The sequence below is a fragment of the Homo sapiens genome, chromosome 8, assembly GCF_000001405.40.
Source record: "Homo sapiens chromosome 8, GRCh38.p14 Primary Assembly".
NCBI classification, from domain to species: domain Eukaryota; kingdom Metazoa; phylum Chordata; class Mammalia; order Primates; family Hominidae; genus Homo; species Homo sapiens.
Genome location: NC_000008.11, coordinates 35,687,097 through 35,706,089, shown reverse-complemented (window position 1 = coordinate 35,706,089; position 18,993 = coordinate 35,687,097). Strand labels below are relative to the sequence as shown.

At 38.9% G+C, this 18,993-nt stretch overlaps 1 protein-coding gene and 1 long non-coding RNA gene across 19 annotated transcripts in view; one reads left to right on the top strand and one right to left on the bottom strand.

Annotated features, from left to right (window-relative positions):
* UNC5D (unc-5 netrin receptor D) overlaps positions 1-18,993 on the bottom strand; it is a 561,066-nt gene that overhangs the window by 90,451 nt on the left and 451,622 nt on the right. For 11 of the 18 annotated variants that reach the window (NM_001438417.1, NM_001438418.1, NM_080872.4 and 8 more), the window contains one exon: positions 129-161. The exons of the other annotated variants lie outside the window; for them this stretch is intronic. In NM_001438417.1, coding sequence (NP_001425346.1) covers positions 129-161 — 33 coding nt within the window. The remainder of the gene's footprint in view (positions 1-128; positions 162-18,993) is intronic. 18 annotated transcript variants of the gene reach the window in all.
* The window catches only part of LOC101929550 (uncharacterized), a 38,158-nt gene that overhangs the window by 4,231 nt on the left and 14,934 nt on the right, over positions 1-18,993 (top strand). The window contains exons 2-3 of the long non-coding RNA NR_125819.1: positions 436-509; positions 2,364-2,410. This is a non-coding gene — a long non-coding RNA (uncharacterized LOC101929550). The remainder of the gene's footprint in view (positions 1-435; positions 510-2,363; positions 2,411-18,993) is intronic.

The window sequence follows — 18,993 nt, the reverse complement described above, 5'->3', positions numbered from 1 at the left end:
TGAGGAGAGGCCTCGAAAGCCCTGGATCTTTCATAGGAACTTCAATTCTGCTCAGCTCCTAAACAAATACAACAGCAAGGCAGCAAATATGAGAATAAATTATATTCACAAGAGGAAAAATAACTTACTTTGGGGTTTTATTTCATGAAGAGGTTTTTTATCTAAAAGAAAGAAAGAAAGAAAAAGAAAGTTGCATTTAATAAATTTACATGGAGCAGATATATTTCCTGTTTCACTTTATATCTACCTCTATAAATAAAACATTTTCTCCATTTTTATGGACAACAGGAATGGCATTGTCCATAGTTTTTTCATTCTATTTTTTAAAAAAATTTTCTCTTTTGAAAAATAAATAATTGTAAGATGATTACTTCATCATTTAAAAATTTATTTTCTTGTGGGTTTACTAGCATTTCTCTCTGTTGCATTTGCTAGATTCTTATCAGGATGAGAAAAGCAGTGAGCTTTCAGCCTGTCACTCTATTATATACAACCAGAAGCCTGCTCAGGTAAGGATGCTGTTTCACTCTAGATGATAGAAAAATGAACCAGCAAATAAATATTTAAAGGGATCCTGCCTTGGTTTGCAGTGATCACAGACTGGATAAAAAGTCCCCAACTCTGCCTGTTTATCCATTCTTGTCAGGTATGGGTGTGGCACGGTGAACACGTTAGTTTTGTTTTTACGAAACCACTCTTTTTGTTTCACATCTCCATTATCTGCTAAAATCTGTTCCATCTCTCTCAATGGAAAAGTTGTCATTTTATAATCACAGTATTTAGCAGTGCACCCATGAGATAAGGTGGATTAAGAGAAGAGGCATTAGGTTGGGCAGGGTGGCTCACGCCTATAATCCCAGCACTTTGGGAGGCCAAGGCGGGCGGATCACGAGGTCAGGAGATCGAGACCATCCTGGCTAACACGGTGAAACCCCGTCTCTACTAAAAATGTAAAAAATTAGCCGGGCGAGGTGGCAGGCGCCTGTAGTCCCAGCTACGCGGGAGGCTGAGGCAGGAGAATGGCTTGAAACCCAGGGGGCAGAGCCTGCAGTGAGCCAAGATCGTGCCACTGCACTCCAGCCCGGGCAACAGCGAGACTCCGTCTCAAAAAAAAAAAAAAAAAAAAAAAGGCATTCAGCATGGCCACAGGAGTCAGAGCTCAGCTGAGGAATTTTCTCAATGCCCCCAGTGTCCCCCATTCATTGTCTCCTGTCCTATCTCCCATCATTAAAATAATCTAATCTTACAGGTCACTTTGAGACTGGGCCTCTGTGGCTTATTCTATGTCATACCACAGTCCCTGTTCTCCCCATTCCCCCTGCCCTCGTCCATCTCAGGCTCACACAACTCCACCACCATGCAGGAACCCAAGGTGACTGCCCTTCAGACGCTATGCCAAGATTCTAGAAGATCTGCATGGTGCTTCCTCCTTCTCATTAGTCCTTTCTTAGGGTTTAGATGAGTCATTGTCTGACTACAGGGATCCAGGCTGTTGATAATCATTCACAGACTCACACAATGGTAGGGGGACCCTACGCAGTCCCCTTCTCTGTTTGCCCGAAGGTGAGCCATGTGAGGTGAAACTGTCATTTTGGATTATGTTTTTAACTGAAGCAAATCCTGTACGGTACACATTTGAGAACTTAAATATTATCTGACTGACTGCACCATCACCCTTCCCACGCAGATCAACACAGCTCTATTCTGAGTTCTCCATAGAGTCTTTCTCACCCTAACTCACTCCTGCATTTAACATGGTTTCTATGGAATGCTCTTGCATTACATGAATGCAGTGTGCTATAAATGCAGCTCCAGTGTGTTTTGCCATCTGATTTGTTGTGGAAGTCACTTTCACAAGGTGTGTATAAATCACACTCTTGAAAATGGGCCACTATTTTTTTAAAATAGAAAGGCAAAGTAAGAGGTAAAGGGTAATTTCTGGCAAATATTTCTTTAAAAAGAAAAATCCTTATAAAAGATAATAATTTGTTGATGTTGATATGATCATAGTCAGATTTTTTTTTACATAGTCAGGTTTCTTAAAACAGAGAACACTTGCATTTCCCTTACTGAACAGATGTGACGGTACTAGTTTTCCTGAGAGCAGGTGGTCCCTCTCGAAGTCCAGATGCTAATGCATTCAAGAATCAGAATAAAATGACTTTGGTGGTTTTAAGCTAACCTCAGTTTTTGCTTATTGCACAGTATCTGAAAGCATTTGGCATGGGGCACAGCGAGGCTGGCAGGCCAAGGCTGAGATGTCTGAAAGTGATACATTGCTACAACTACACTAGGAGACATGTAGAACATCTGTTTAGAACTCTGACTGAGCTTAACAGTATTTTCTTCCTTCTAAACCACAGGAACGAAGATTACTCTGGGTAGCAGAATGAAACTCCATTAAAAACAGGTGAGATATATAACTATGCCACAGAAAAATAAATCTAATACAGCCAGGCTATGAAAAAATTGGAGTAGTAGAATTCTATCAGGTATAGCTCTGAAAGAATGAATGAACGAATGTGACTGAAAAGCCCAGGGCCATGGACTTGAGACAGAGAAATCAGGCAACAAGGGCACACAAGGCATGAGTGCGGCACTTCCCCCTCTAACCTAGCTTTGGAGCCACTTTTATTGGCATTGTGGCATTAGTAGACCAGGATCAGAACTGGATTTAAACCTTCAGTTGTCTACATTCCGTGTGTCCTCAGTATTCTCACAGTAAAATGGGAATACAAATTCCCATTAAAAGTTGCTACTGTTGATTAAGCATGATAACTGGAAATCCATGCAGCATAGAGCTAGCACATGTTTGTCATCAATAAATGTAACAATCGATAGCTAATGACACAATTTCAACCTGTTATGATTATCATGATCATTGTCAGAGTAAAAAAAAAAAAATGCCTATTTGTGCTGCTGCTTAGAGAGAAGTCACAACTCCAAATCAGAAATTCTAGTGAATTTTGGGGATTCTTGAATGCATGTTAAAACTTGTATCTAGTTCCGGCCTCTGCTAATATGAGACCAACGCAAATCAAAACTTCAGTTTCCTGATATGTTAAAAATTAGGGCGGGGCTAGAATGCAGGCTCCCTTGCCTTCACCCACTGTAAATGTGCAGACCAGCAACCAAAGACATTCTACAGAGTAAAAATTATTCAAACGGCCACTTCTCTACAGTGGGACTTGTTATGCTAAGTTCCAGCATATCTTCTGTATCAGTGTGTATCCTCCTATGGAAATGGCTGGAAATCTCTGGTGCCCAAGAGGGTTTTAGTCCCCTGGCATCAGCATCAAAATTGGATTCTGCTGTGCTTTGTGAAACAACAGTACCTTGACAGGAATCTGCTAACATAGAGCATTTTCCCAAAAGGAAATATCTGATCGAGATTGTTCTACAATGAGCACAAGAGAGGGCTACCCACTGACTTCACTGACTTTGCAAGAAGTACCCACTCTATGATCTTTTATTCTGTTTGCATAATCATTTTCTCACAAGGCTCCCGGCCATGGAACATCCTTGATCAACTACATTCTCTCTGCTTTAATTTTACCTCTCTCCAAAGGCCAAGTTAAAATGACCCTTAGTAAATTAATCCATTAGGGCCATGGTTCTTGGTGGTGGTGTTGGCTTAGTGGTGTTGGCTGCATATTAGAATCACCTGGGGAGCTTTTCAAACAAATACTCATACCTGGGCCCCACTCCAAGAGATCTTGATTATTTGAGGTTTGGGTTTTTGTGATCATGATCACTTTCGGGCAACATATCTGGGATCTGTGTGGTCAATTTTAGTTAGTCTCTGCCTCCCTAAGATGCCTTGAGGTAGCTATGGTATATAAATGGTCCCAGAAGGGTCTCTCCTATATCTTGCAGGTGAGAGATGTTGCAATTTTGACCCAGTGGAAGCTGAGCTATAGTTTAGGAAAAAAATCATAGCAGTTTTCCCAGGGTCTAACATATACTGATTGGTACCTTCTGAGTAAGTTGGAAATTGATGATAAATTATTATAACTCAGTCTTATAATCTTTTTGTGTATTTATAAGTTAAAAATGCAAACATTTTTAAGTGTTTTAAATTGTCACATTTTATTTCACTTTTTTCATTTATTTCATTTTTATCCTTACACAGTTACTAGGTAGTTGTGCATCCAAAATAAAATATATATATTATATATTGTATATAATATATATAATAGATAATCACAAAGGGAAAAAAGCATAATTCCAGCACCAAGGGATAACCACTGTTAAGTTATATATACAAGCCTAGCTCTTTATCCCCTGTGATTTTATAGATATGAAACTACATAAAATTGCCAGTGATTTATCATTTTTACCTATAAAAATGTGGAATTGTCTTTTATGTATTGTTCTGCAATCTGCTTTTGTCACTTAGTACTGTAAGGCAGCTATTGCTTTGTGTCTGCCCTTGTGTATATGAGGGGGGAGGTATATATCTATATGATGGAGAAAGAGAACAATCTACCTTTTATTTTTGGTGATGATTCATTTCTTTTTCACCTTTAATTTCTTGCTTCCTTTTTTATATTCCATGCTCCTGAACCATTTCCATAGTATCCATTGTTCTTAGCAGCTATTTATAACATCATCCCTACATATCCAGCCTCTACTAGAGAACAAACGTGGTCAGCTGCATGCAGCCCACATCCCTGGGACTACAGAGAGTAGGCCCTGGGGGAAGATGGCACATGTGGACAGAAGGGTTCATCTCCAACCATAGAGTGAGGGCTGCAGACAGAGGGCTGCTCCTCAAAAGCTGTAGCTGGTGATTACTTGAAATCTGCTCCCACTGGTTTTGAATACTGCATAGATATGTTTGATACCAGGGCCTATGTCATTTTTAAGATTCAGTTAGTAGGGTTGCTTAAATGTAGACTAAATACCCAGTGGGGCAGCAACTCACTTCCCAGCAGCAATTCGAATACGTCATTACAGTCAATGTTTACCATTCTTTCATTTCACTAGACTAGTCATATCCCGTATTTTTACCTACAAAGACCACTTTAATTATTTTGTTTGTCATAAATCATATGCTTTGAAACCTTTTCCACCCCCAAAAAGATATGTGTTAACTGTTTTGTATTTTAACTTACCCTTCACATTCTTTGTACTCTTAAATGATTTAGGAGTTGATTCTGAAGTCTATAGAATAGTCTGCCTTTTGTATCTATTCTCTGGCTTATTTCCTTATTTGTTGCAATAATTCTCTAATATTAGCATGAAAGAATCTAACATGACTCCACATTGCCTCTGAGTCATGGTCAACTGCTCTGCCTACCTTTATGGCCTTGCATTTCTGGTCCCACCATGCCAGATATGAATTAGTTTCTGGAGCACCTCAGTACAAATCCATGTACTAGTCTGATAAATCTATTAACTCTCTCCATCGTCAACTCAAAGCTTTTGTTCAGGCTGTTGTCTCGCCTTGGGAAGCCCTTCCCTCTTCAGGGTTCTTACAGAAAAGTTTCCTGACTCCATGGCACAGATGGATTTCTGATTATTTCCTGAAATCTCTGGTGATTACTCCATTTGCAGGGATTGCTTCTCTCTCTCGACAGTTTGTCTAACTAACTTATAGTCACTAAAACACAACGTATTTTTTTTCCAAAAATTAATAACATCACAAATGTTCATTTGATATATTTTATACTTTAAAAATCACTGTCAGTTATGGGTCCCTAACATGTAAATCATATTTAAATGCTTATTTGTGTGACACTGCGACCACAGAGTCACAGCAAGAAAAAGATGGGGGGAACAAAATTAAGAGCTATTTGTTTATTTGCTGACTGGTAGAAAAGAGATTGAGGTTATTGATTATCAGTGTATTGCATGTATTCATGCTTTCCCTCTCCCCTCATAACTAGAAATAATTAAGAGCTGGTGTTATGCCCTCTGAATGCTATCCAAGGCTGCAGGAATTCCCAGGGCCTGGCAGATAGGCCTTGTATTAGCAGTGAAGGATAATTAGACAAACATGAAGTCTGCTTTGCATTGGCAACAACACTATGCCGGAATATGTCAGGGAGACAATGGCAAGTGGGGATTCTGTTCTCCTCCGAGTGTTCAAAGTTCATTTAGGTCATAGAACATGCAGGAAAACAAGCTCCAACTCTTGTATACATCCTAAAACTATTTCAGTGATTAAAAATGCAGAAATATTAAAAGATTAAGATATAACCCATCTCTAGATTTGACTCTTTTTAGTTTCCTTATTGCGTTTTTCTTTTCAGTTCATTTTTAAAGATCTTGGTCAGCAATGACCCTTCAGAGACCATATTTATCCCACTTAGTACTAGGTTAGTTCAGTTCTTGCTTTCTCACTTCAACCCTACTCCCCCCAGCTTCCCAGCCTGTATAGACATCACAAGATCTATTACCCCTTTTAAAATGCAATCTGAGCGTACTCATGGAGGACAAGCACAGAGAATAGGAAGTTTTTAGAGATTCCTCCTGGAGTTTTCCAATTGGTGATGTCGGTTAGAGAAATCACTGGTTTCCCCAGAGAAATCTGAGGATTAGTGGAATTCCAGGGCTGAATGGCAAAATCACCCACATAAATAACAACTTCTATGAGTTGAGATGCACATTAGTAAATGAAAAACGGTTCTATTGACATCTTCTAACTATGCATTGTTCAAGATCCCATCATGCTAATTAGATGAAGTCAGAAGGGTACCAAAACAGATGGCTCAAGGATGTCACTTCTGATGACAATGACCTTCCTGAATTGCCCTTAGTCAAAGCACATAATTAGTGTGCATTCAGGAGATGTAGTCTTCCCTCTTTTTTCTTTCAAACTGGGGGGACTGGACAAATAAGTATCCTTAATGACTATGCTCATAAGTGGCATTTACATATTTTTGAGCTCAATCATTGAAACATCTAGATTGATACCAACTTCATTGTGATGTCTATCCATTCCTACTGATTCCATGTGTGTTAGTTTTTGTGATGAATATGCAGAGTAAAATATGGTCTTGGGCCACTGCAAACACTTTTAAGCCAATATCTATGAGACTTTCTTACCAGTAATTAGCCTCAACGTGACAAAATGCAATGCTTCCAACTCTGCTCCAAGGGAAGATGCATAATAAAGTCCTTTTTCTAACCTATGAATTCTTTTGCTTTGATCCCCTACCTTCCAGTCACAATAGAAATATATACTGTATATATTCAAAATGGAACAAAAAGTCCAGATTCTATAATTCAAGCTTAAGATAATCATGTATTGGTTAATGTCATGATAATCACTGACTTGAGGCAAGAGTGATATTCAAATATTTAAAAATTGTTTAAAAATATCAAAATGAAATTAATATATTGAAAAGATATCCACATTCCCATGTTTATTGCCACGTGATTTACAATAGCAAAGATATGAAAACAACCTAAATGCCTGTTGACAAATGAATGGATAAAGAAAATGTAGTATATACAAACAATGAAATATTATTCACCTTAAAAGAGAAGGACATCCTGCCACTTTCAACAACATAGATGAACTTGCAGAATATACTAAGTAAAACAAGCCAGATGCAGAAAAATAAATACTGTTTGATTTCACTTATATGAGGAATCTAAAGATACCAAACTCATAGAGACAGAGAGTAGAATGGTGGTTGCTGAGGGCTGAGGCTGGGATGGAGGACATGGAGAGATAATGGTCAAGGGGTAAAAAGTTTAATTAGGCAAGATAAAGAAGTCCTAGAAATCTAATGTGAAATAATGTGACTACTGTTAACAATATTGTACTGTATACTTGAAATCTGCTAAGAGGGCAAGACTTAAATGTTCTCACCACACATGGACTAAAAAAAAAAAAAAAAGGAGCTATGTGAGGTGATGGATATGCTAATTAGCTTGATGTGGCAACTATTGCACAAGCACACATATATCAAATCATCAAGCTGTGCAATTTAAACATATACAATTTTTAACTTTCAAGTATACCTCAATAAAGTTGTAAAAAAGGAATCCTATTTGTAAGTGCCAGCCTTGCCATAGGGTCACAGTGGCTTCCTGCTGTGTCAAGGGTTGGTTGTTCCTTAAATTGCTCAGGAGGGAGGTAGGGAGGTTTGGAGAGGGAAGATGGTGGGGGTTGAGATTTGGGAAGTGTTTGTTATGATGACTAAGAAAATACTTAACTGATATGAGGCTATCAGTCCTGACTCATTAAAAAATGCTTAAAGGGAAATTGTAAATTGAGGACCCTTGACTTCCAAATTATTTTTCAGCTTCATTAGTCCTCATGCTAGACCAAACATTTATCTAACATTACAGACCAAATTACCTGTACATAGGGTCTACATCCGTCTTGTTTACCTATTTCCAGTACCTAGAACAATAAATAGGATATAGTAGGTACTCAATAAATATCTGTCAAATGAATCAGTGCTGCTAAGCCTTATACAGTGTCCGTAATTGCAATCACAAATATTACAAAGTCAAGGTTCATCAATTTCCTATGTTCTACATGAATTCATAGGATGTTGTGGCTACTTGATGAGGAGTTTGGAGTACAATGCTAAAGAGGCTGGATTTGATAAGTCAGTCCCTAAGTGAGGCCAGCAACTTGTTTTGTTGGGGTAGGGCAATTTGTTTCACATCTAAAAGATGCCCAAGTCACCTTACGTAACAGCCACTCAAATGGCTGATTTTAGGTGTGAATGAGAATAAACTTCTCCTCAAAACTCATTAAAAAATACATAATCTCCAAAAAAAAAAAAACATAATCTGAAGTCACTGACATGTCAGTGGTGTTATTTTCATATTATATATATGTGTATATATATGTTTAATATGTGTGTGCATATATATCTGGAAGCTGGTAAATATATAGCTGCAATGTATATTCATACTTTATATGTATATATATGTGTATCTATTTTAATGTGCTTATGTTGTGTGTGTGTGTGTGTGTGTATGTATATATATAAGTATGTGTATCTATCTATCTCAAGTTTTTAAGCTAAAATGAAACTTAGAGATCTTCTTGCTCAGTTTCCTCATTTTACAGTTACAGACACAAGGTGCAAGATTATGAGATTTGCCCAAGGTAACACACTAGTTAACAAAAGATCTGAACTGGGACCTAGGACTCCTGATTCTTTGTTTAGAGCTCTTTTTACTACCCTATGATATCTTTCTAAATGATCATGGCAATTTTCCATTCCACTGAACACTAACACTGTCCTGTACTAAACACACGTAAGAAGGCCAGGTCTTTTCTTATTCACAGTACTGACACTCTGGAGAATGGGGAAGGGCAGGGTTAATAGAGTTAATGATAGCGTCTATTGATGATGTTAGTCTCATCTTTATTATATTTATCACCTTTCGTAATGATCTTGAAGAGACGTGTACTTAGTTTGTAATTTAAAGAGAATAGGTGGAATCAAAACAAAGAGGTTTCCTTTATCTCTATTAATTTGCTTTGTTCAGCACACCCCAGAGGCCACTGAGTTTTTCACAACAGTAGATTACTCAGTTTTAAATCACTTCCCTGATTGGGTTCTTGCCACTTCTTTTATAGCCAAACCACTCTATGATCTCAGACATTAAATCTTTCTCTAGTCCAGACTAATATTTCTTACCCGGGGTTTTGTGCTGTTGAATCCTGATTAATTACACTGCAAATGTAAAATTTGTAATTTACAGAACTAATAAAATGAGGATAGTTTTGTTTATATGACAGAAAGCCTAAACTTTGGAAACATCCTGACTAGAAGGGACCTTGGATATCAATCATAACTGACAGCAAAAAAAAAAAAAAAAAAAAAATTAAATATTGATAATAAATATGGCAAGATTGCTAATTTTGGAATCTGGGAATGTGGAGTAAGAGAAGTATCAGGCATGCAACAAATCATTGTTCTAGAACTGGTTCACAACAGAACAGTAATCCCGGAATCTATAAATTGCTATACAGTCTAGTACAGTCTAGTAATGCATATGTTGTTGGATTTCGTTTCTCCTGACTCCATTGAGAAAGAATTTTTGAATTTGTGTTGACAAATTAGGATTTGCTTTATAAAAAATATTTTCTACCACCTGTAATCCCAGCACTTTGGGAGGTCAAGGTGGGTGGATCACCTGAGGTCAGGAGTGTGAGACCAGCTTGGCCAACATGGCAAAACCCCATCTCTACTAAAAATACAAACATTAGCCAGGCATGGTGGCACACACCTGTAATCCCAGCTACTCGGGAGGCTGAGACAGGATAATTGCTTGAACCCAGAAGGCAGAGGTTGAAGTAAGCCAAGATTGTGCCACTGCATTCCAGCCTGGGTGACAGAGTAAGACTCCATTTCAAATAAATAAATAAATAAATAAATAAATAAATAAATAAATAATATAAAAATACTTTCTGGCCAGGTTGTCAGAATACATGTATTTCTTATGAATGAGAGAAGCCTGTATATCCTACTCTCAATATGGCAAGAACTGCTTTTCTCACCTGTGGTTCAGGTGTTCTTCCTTCCCTCTCCTGAGCCTTTCTCTTGAGGGTTTATTTTATTTTATTTTTAAGAGACAGAGTCTTGCCCTGTTGCTCAGGTTGAAGTGCAGTGGCTATTTACAAGCACAGTCATGGTGCTCTATAGCCTTGAACTATAGGCCTCAAGTGATCCCCCTGCCTCAGCCTCCAGAATAGCTGGGACTATATAGGTGTGCACAACCATGTATGACTTTGAGTTGTTTTTAACTGTTAGTTAGAATCATAAGATTTTAGAACGTGTTGGGACCTTATAGATCCCCTGGTCTGTCACCTTCTCAGGACCAAATCCTACCAGCTGAGCAGAGGAAGGATAGAAAATGGAGAGTAGTTCATTCAGCTACTTATCAGAAGCTCTAGGAAAGGATATTGATTCTTTTGTCCAACAGAAAGTTTAAGATACCTTGGGAACTGTTAGGATTCTCCCAAACTCTTTTTGACAGCGGACAGTATTTCTCAAATTACTGCTCAAAAATAGTTTGTATAAAGAATGTAATGAATGTATAAATAATGTCTTCTATAGATTTTAATGACAAGTACATTTTATTTCATTAGACACTATCTTAACCAGATATATTAGGAAACGTGTTAATGAAACATAGAAAGTATCTCACTGTTGATACTCTTGCAGAACATGGAAAACATTTTTTTTCTGCCACAAGAATTCCTTTATTAGAAAACACACACATGTGCTGGGCATGGTGGTTTACACCTGTTATCCTAGCACTTTGGGAGCCTGAGGTGGGAGGATCACTTGAACCCAGGAGTTTGAGGCTGCAGTAAGCTATGATTGTGCCACTGAACTCCAGCTTGGGCAACAGAGTGAGACCCTGTCTCAAACAAAACAAAACACCACACACACACACACACACACTATAGTTATTGCTATTTTGTATAATAGAGTGCTTACTATGGAGGGAAAATGCTTCACTCAGATTAGTTTATCTTCTCACAAAGAATCCTTTGTAATAGATACTGTTATAATTTTTGTTTTATAGATAAGCAAATTTAAGCTTAGAGAAATTAAGACACTTGTTCAAGGTGTTCCTGCTTATAGTATTGTAATCAGAATTCAAACTCAAACTATCTCACTGCAGAGCCCTGAGGCTTCAACCTATCCTTCATTTAAAGGATGGATATTCACATCCAACAGGCTCAATTCATTCATTTCTTCCAATTCTAGGTTCCTGTCTGTCCATTTTGAGTACCTCAAAAAGAAAACAGCTGGTTTTAACTCAGTCACAAAGGAGCTTTGAGGGCTATTTAGCCTGTGTTCTGAATGCCAGATCAATCTAGGCCCAACCTAGGCCAGCCTCACTGAAGCTCAACCTCTGTACCTTCCAACAGTCCCCAGTTCAGTGTTTCTCGGGGATATCATCTGTAAAAGTTGTCTTTGTTAGGGATTTGCACTCTCACCGACGAGCTGGTTCTAAGATTATAATTTAAGACATGTTTTTAAGCTTCCTAATGGGTTTGTCTCCAGTTTACATCATCACAGGGACTCGTTCTTATGTGTTTGTTTAGTTTTCTTGGGTTTGTGTTATGTTTTACTTTGTTTTGCTTTCGTTTTTTTCCTCGCTCTCTAAGTAATATGACCTTGAGGTACATGCATCCTGCTCTCCAGCTGCCCAAATTCAGTTTTAGGGCCCTTACTTACAGTGGAGGTGTTTTATTTTGACTTCTCTCATAAAATGAACAAAGTTAACAAGATGTGCTTGAGAGAAACAAACTTCCAGAGATTATGTTTCTGAAGTGCTACATAGGACTTCCTGTCTAATTTCACCAAAAGAATGCAAGCATAGTGGAAAAATACATATTGAAATATCTTGGGGGGAAAAAGTGGGTAGCAATGGGAAAATGTAGGTAGAAGGAGATATCGTTAAAGAGAGACAAGCAGAATAACTGCCTTCATTTCTGTTAGCTGAGAAAGCAATTCTTACCTAGGCTCTTGTGTCTTAGCTCTGTACCTGTGGCACAGATCCATGAGGAAATAGAAGATGGTGACAACAGAAAAAGTTTTCTGGATGACAAAAGGCATCTGAAGTGTTTCAGACCTGGTTGGTAACAAAGGCCACAGATTTTTAATAGCTTATGAAATACGCATCCATCATAAACCAATGGATGAAGGCCAGTCTTCATTGAGAAGGGAGATCATGTTCAAAAAAACAAATGTCTTTTTCTTTTTATTAACAAGGCATAAAAATAGAAAAGTCAGTAGTGGATGGGCAACTAAGGGAGAAGCGTTACGGTAATTTGTTGCGTGCATTTTATTCTTGATCTTGTTTATGTCCAATCCACTCAGGATATGGCACTTGAGTGCAAGTGCCCATCGAGAGGCACAAAAATGACAGTTTTAGCTTTGTAAAAAAAATAGTTTTTAAAGCCTTCACGAAGACACGTGAATATTGCACTATGTCTGCTTTATTTTCTTTTTAAGAAACTTCACTCCTGAGCCACTCCACTCTGTCTTATTAAAGCTTGTTCCTCACTGGTCTTCATATTTGGTCCCATAATGGGAAAGCATTTATTTGGGGCATGGGGGAGAGATGGTTGCTAAGCTGCTAATGACACCATATGTGCCCAAATCTACATTATTATGACTCCTGTGGGTCTGCAATATTATATCCACATTTGCTATGCAGTATACATGAAGGCAAATTATGAATTAATCAATTGTTATGCAGAAAGGCAAGCTATTGAGTATTTCTAGGAAAAAGTCTTTGTGTAAAAAGGAGCACCTACTATGTCCTATAAATTAAAAGTACTTGGGAGAATTAGCGAGCAGTAGGATGCTTCATGGCCACATAAAAATATATTGTGCTGGTATGTTAACTTGCTAATGGCATTTTCATTTCTTGACTTTAGAGAGTTTAACTACGCTATCATTAAGCAATTGTGCAGTGTGGCTGGTTCAGCTGGTTTTGAAATATGAACTTGTCCAACAAAAAGTCTAGATTGAGTCAAGTATGATTTCTGACTCTGACCAAAGAAAGGACTTGACAGATTTTGTTTGGGTAAAGGGACACTCATCCATTATAATCCCATAAACAAAAGAAGTATTCCATAAAACCACTAGTACAGAAATAAGTTGTTTTAAATGTGTAGAGCTATCTCCAGGATGAAATTTCTCTGATTCAGTGCCCTAGGAAATACAGGGAAGGAACTCAGGTAATTACTGTAATGGATAACAATGAGGTTTAGAATGGTCCAAGAGAAAATGCTTAACAAAGCAAACATGCCTTTCCTGTGATTACAGGTTCACCTTTTCAGGTGCTTCGTCTAGGTCATTTAAGTAGATCATTGAATAGACAATGTGGTTAGATTATTAGATGTAGCTTGGGGATGTTTATTTAAACCTGCTATTGTGTAGACATCTTTATCCTTGATGGGGTTTCCTAACCATCAACTCAAACTTTTCTTATCACTGTAGCCATCAGAAGTGAAAACCACCGTTTTACTGATATTTCAGTTTTTGAACTGTCAATGTTGAACTGACCTATGTTATACCTTGACAAGACGAACGGACTAGCTATCAGGTAGCTAAGCCTTGGAGACTTCCTCTTTCAGGCCCCTGTGGCATTTCTCTAGCTTTAGTCTCACTACACATCTAGGTGCTAATCCCTTCTGAAGCATACCCATTTAATCTTCTCAAGCCAATGCCCTTAGTTTTATATCTGCTGGGGTTAAGAGAGAGGGAGCTGGCTTCTCTTATTCCTCAGGATCAAATTAAACACCCTGCTATTTTCACCTTTCTCTTCCTGTCAATGAGGCATGCGCAGCTTATTTCCCTCTGGCTGTGATCTGAGAGCACAAACGCAGGTATGTACAGCAAGGAGAAAGTCCAATGGTCAGGAAACTACCTGATTCTGGTGTTCAAGCTCAGAAAACATGGATCAACAAGTTCTTGCTTCTTGACAGTCATACCACATCATTACCTTTTTCCTCTGGAAAAGCAATACTCTAGTATAAAGGCACTGCATGTTTATGCTTGTAATTTAGATTCGTGGATTCACTGTTATTGCCCCAAAATTCCTAATCTGCTTCTTACCAGTCTTGGGGCATTTACCTACTTTTTGATTTTTAAGTGACAGGGTCTCCCTTTGTCAGCCAGGATGGAGTGCAGTGGAGCAATCATAGCTCACTGCAGCCTCGATCTCCTGGGCTCAAGTGATCCTTCTGCCTCAGCCTCCCAAATAGCTGGGACTACAGGCATGCACCACCACACTTGGCTAGTTTTTCATTTTTCTTTTGTAGAGACCGGGGTCTTGCTATGTTGCCCAGGATAGTCTTGAACTCCTAGCCTCAAGTGATCCTCCCTCCTGGGTCCCCCACCTGCTAGCATAAAAGGCATAAGCCACTGTGCCAGCCGTATTTATTTTCTTGTTGAGAGCATCTAGGTGTGGCCATCTGTGACAGTGTAACATTAAGATTCTGTGTTCTAGTCACAACTGACCAAGCAACAATAACACCCAAATATTAAAGTGATCATTCAGAGCTGGCAGCTTCATCTCTAGGAGAAATGCAACCCTCAGAGACAACAAAGAAAAACCAATTGTTTTGTTGAAGGCTAAATAAAATCAAAGACATGTAGGTCATCTAAGAGCCAAGAAATGCCATTGTGAATCCTCCACGAGAAGGTGGAAATTGAGGAATTGCTTTAGGGTCATGTTGAGTGTCAAGGAAGAAAATTAGGATGAAGAAAATTCCCAAATTGTAATATGACCTAGATTCTTCAACAAAGCTACTGCTCCATAAAGCTGTTGCCAAATGCTATTTTAATCAAAGCCAGCCTTCACTGGAGCTCTATCCTCAGAGCACAGCTATTTTCACCAAGAGCACTCCGACAGAGTACCAGTGAGAGCCTCAGAGTGATGCTGGCATCATTTAATTGGATTACTGTCCATTGCTTCCTGAAGAGATAGTGAAGTGTTATCTTTATTTATTTATTCTTTGAGACAGGATCTCACTCTGTTGCCTCAGCTGGGCTGCAATAGCACGATCATGGCTCACTGCAGCTTCATCCTCACACCTCAGCTTCCAGAGCAGCTGGGACTACAGGCATAAGCCACCATGTCTGGCTTATATTTTTTTAATTTTTATTTTTTGTAGAGACAGGGTCTTGCTATGTTGCCCAGGCTGGTCTTGAACTCTTGGACTCAAGTGATTCTCCTGCCCTGGCCTCCCAAAGTGTTGGGATTACAGGTATGAGCCACCATGTCTGGTGTTACTCATTTTTGTTGATATAGGTAGTCACTTTCTATCTAAAAGGACAGAATACATCCTGGAGTTGGGCTTTTACAAACACACCCGTTTCCCACTGATATGCAAATATATCTCAATTACATCAATAATCTCATAGACTTCACCCTTTCTCCTTCAAAACTCTTCATCACTATAGCCATCAAAAGCCTCTGATAATATTTGACAAATATACTAATATGCATACAATGAAGGCTAGAAAAAACATGCTGAAGTGAAAAAGGAAATGGAAGAAATTAATAGATTGAATAGAAAGAAAAGGCTTATGTAGCATTTTCAACTCATGGGGGTATTTAACAGAGATCTTTTTACACATTCCAAGCCTATCTTCCTAGCTATGTTATTTCCACTATAGGAATGGATTGAGCTGTTTTAATTTCACAAAAGCACATATGCATCCATGATGGTTAATTTTATGTGCCAACTTGACTGGGCCATGGGGTGCCCAGATATCAAGTCATATATTATTCTAGATAGTTCTGTGAGGGTGTTTTTGGATGAGATTAACATTTAAATTCACAGACTGAAAAAAAAAGCAGACGGCCCTCCATAATGTGGGTGGGCCTCATCCAATCAGTTGAAGACCTAAATAGAACAAAAGATTGACCCTCCCCTGAGTAAGAGAGAATGCTCCTTCTTGACAGCCTTCCAACTAGAACACTGGCTCTTCCTGCCTGACAGCCTTCCAACTGGGCCATCAGATGTTCCTGGTTCCATAGCAGCCTACCAACTTTTGGGCTTGAACTGGGACATTGGCTTTGCAGATTTTGGACTTGCTGGGCTTCAGAATCACATGAGCCAATTTTCATAATAAATATCTTTAAATATCTCTCCATTGCACTCTTCCTCTATGTGTGTGCATATCCTATTGGTTCTGTTTCTCTGGAGAACCCTGACTAATACAGCATCTCAGATATCAGAGTTAGGATCGAGGCTTGCCAGTACACTCTCAGTGCTGATTAAGTTCTTTCAGCCTTAAACAGAACTCTTATTCAATTGGTAAATGACAAACTATTACAATGCAAATGCAAAAAAATAATATTTGTGTGTTGGATAACAATTCTTTCTTACATTAAGAGATAACCATTATCTGTCTCCAATCAGTAATTCTCAGATTAAGTCTTAGTCAATTAAGATTGAAGCCTGATATCCATTGATTTTCCCCAAGTGCAAGTACAACCTGTGGTTGTTAGTGAAGGTTATTACTATGACTATAAAAATTTCAACCAGTAGCCAAATAGTTATATTGTCATGGTTCTTTAGAAGACATAAAATTCACTGCCCAACTGTACTAATTTATAATCATGGCCAAATATCTGGACATCCCATGGCTCAGTCAGGTTGACACATAAAATTGACCAGATGTATATGTACTTGTAAAATTCAAAAAGCTTAGTTCTTTCCTTGAAGCCACTCATGGTCATAGTTCAGGTAGTTGCTTTAAACAATTTATTGGCTTATTAAATGAACTCGTCCTATGGACACTGGCCATGTGTAGTTTTCTAAGTGTTCTCCTTGTATTTTCCTGTAGTGGAAATGAAAACAGTCACACCTCAAATGTGTGTATTAGAAAAATCTGGTGGTATTCAAGAGAGGTGAGAAGCACATTTCTTTAAATATCCTTCTATTGAGCTTGTGTTGAGATTCCTTACATTTAGGAAGCGGGAAAGCTTTCTGAAGGCAGCAGATGGTTGGTGTGCATTTATTGGAGAGCATACCCAAACTACAACTGGTGGGTAGGTGGTCTTCCATTACAGCTCCCTGCATTGTATCTGATGCATGCAGGGTAATCAGTGCTTGTACTAGCAAATAAAGGCACTATAGGCTATCAGGAAGTGCTCATTTCAATGTACTAATCATTTTAACCAATGTATGAACCATACAGAATTAGTCTGAAAATACAACAGGTAGCAGGTGCCTGCCTTCAAGGGTATTCAGTCATACTGAAGCAGAAGAATAAACCCAACTTAGATATTTCCTACATACTGTCATCTTCCCAAAGAAAATGTGATGCATCTCCCTGAGAAAATCACAAACTTGTAAGCTATGGTATCTTTTTTTTTTTTTTGCTGGATATTTCCCAGAGAAATTTCCGAGAAGGCGACCAGTTCTAGAGAAGTAAGTGCTCAGTCTTGTGTGTGTTTTTTTTTGTTGTTGTTGTTTTGTTTTTTTTTGTTTTTGAGGCGGAGTCTCGCTCTGTCACCCAGGCTGGAGTGCAGTGGTGCTATCTCGGCTCACTGCAAGCTCCGCCTCCCGGGTTCACGCCATTCTCTTGCTTCAACCTCCCGAGTAGCTGGGACTACAGGTGCCTGCCACCACGCCCAGCTAATTTTTTTTGTATTTTTAGTAGAGATGGGGTTTCACCGTTTTAGCCAGGATGGTCTCGATCACCTGACCTCGTGTTTTTTAAAGACCCCAGCAAAATCAATACACCTTGACTCATCTAAGTGGGTGAGTGGAGAAGAGATCCCTATCAAGTGTGCACCTACTCTGTGCCATACAACATTCAAATATGTTATTTTATCATTTAGCCTTGACAATACTAAAAAGTGGGTATCATATTTGGTAACTATAGTCAGAGAAGATAAGAGGTTAAGCAACTTGCCCAAAGAACACAAAGTAAATAAGGAAGAGCACCAAATTGAAACCTATTTCTCTTTGACTCTAGTTGACCCTCCCATGCCTTCTAACCCAGGCAGGCAGTCCCTTGGTGATGGTAATAATGTAATCTCAGGAATAAAGCCAAGACTTGGGAATTTTGAAACAAACATTCTACTTGCTACTCTGCCAGACCACTGTGATACAAAGCCACCCACTTCCTCAGGTATCACTCTCCTTTCCCCATAACTTTTTTTTTTTTTTTTTTTTTTGAGACGGAGTCTCACTCTGTTGCCCAGGCTGGAGTGCAGTGGCACAATCTTGGCTCACTGCAAGCTCCACCTCCTGGGTTCACGGCATTCTCCTGCCTCAGCCTCCTGAGTAGCTGGGACTACAGGCGCCCACCACCACGCCTGGCTAATTTTTGTATTTTTCGTAGAGACAGGGTTTCACCTTGTTAGCCAGGATGGTCTCGATCTCCTGACCTCGCGATCCGCCTGCCTTGGCCTCCCAAAGTGCTGGGATTACAGGCGTGAGCCACTGCGCCCGGCCTATTTTTAAGGTAACAGTAATAAGACATGTTCCTTGCCACAGAACCCATGGTCTCTAAAGATGTA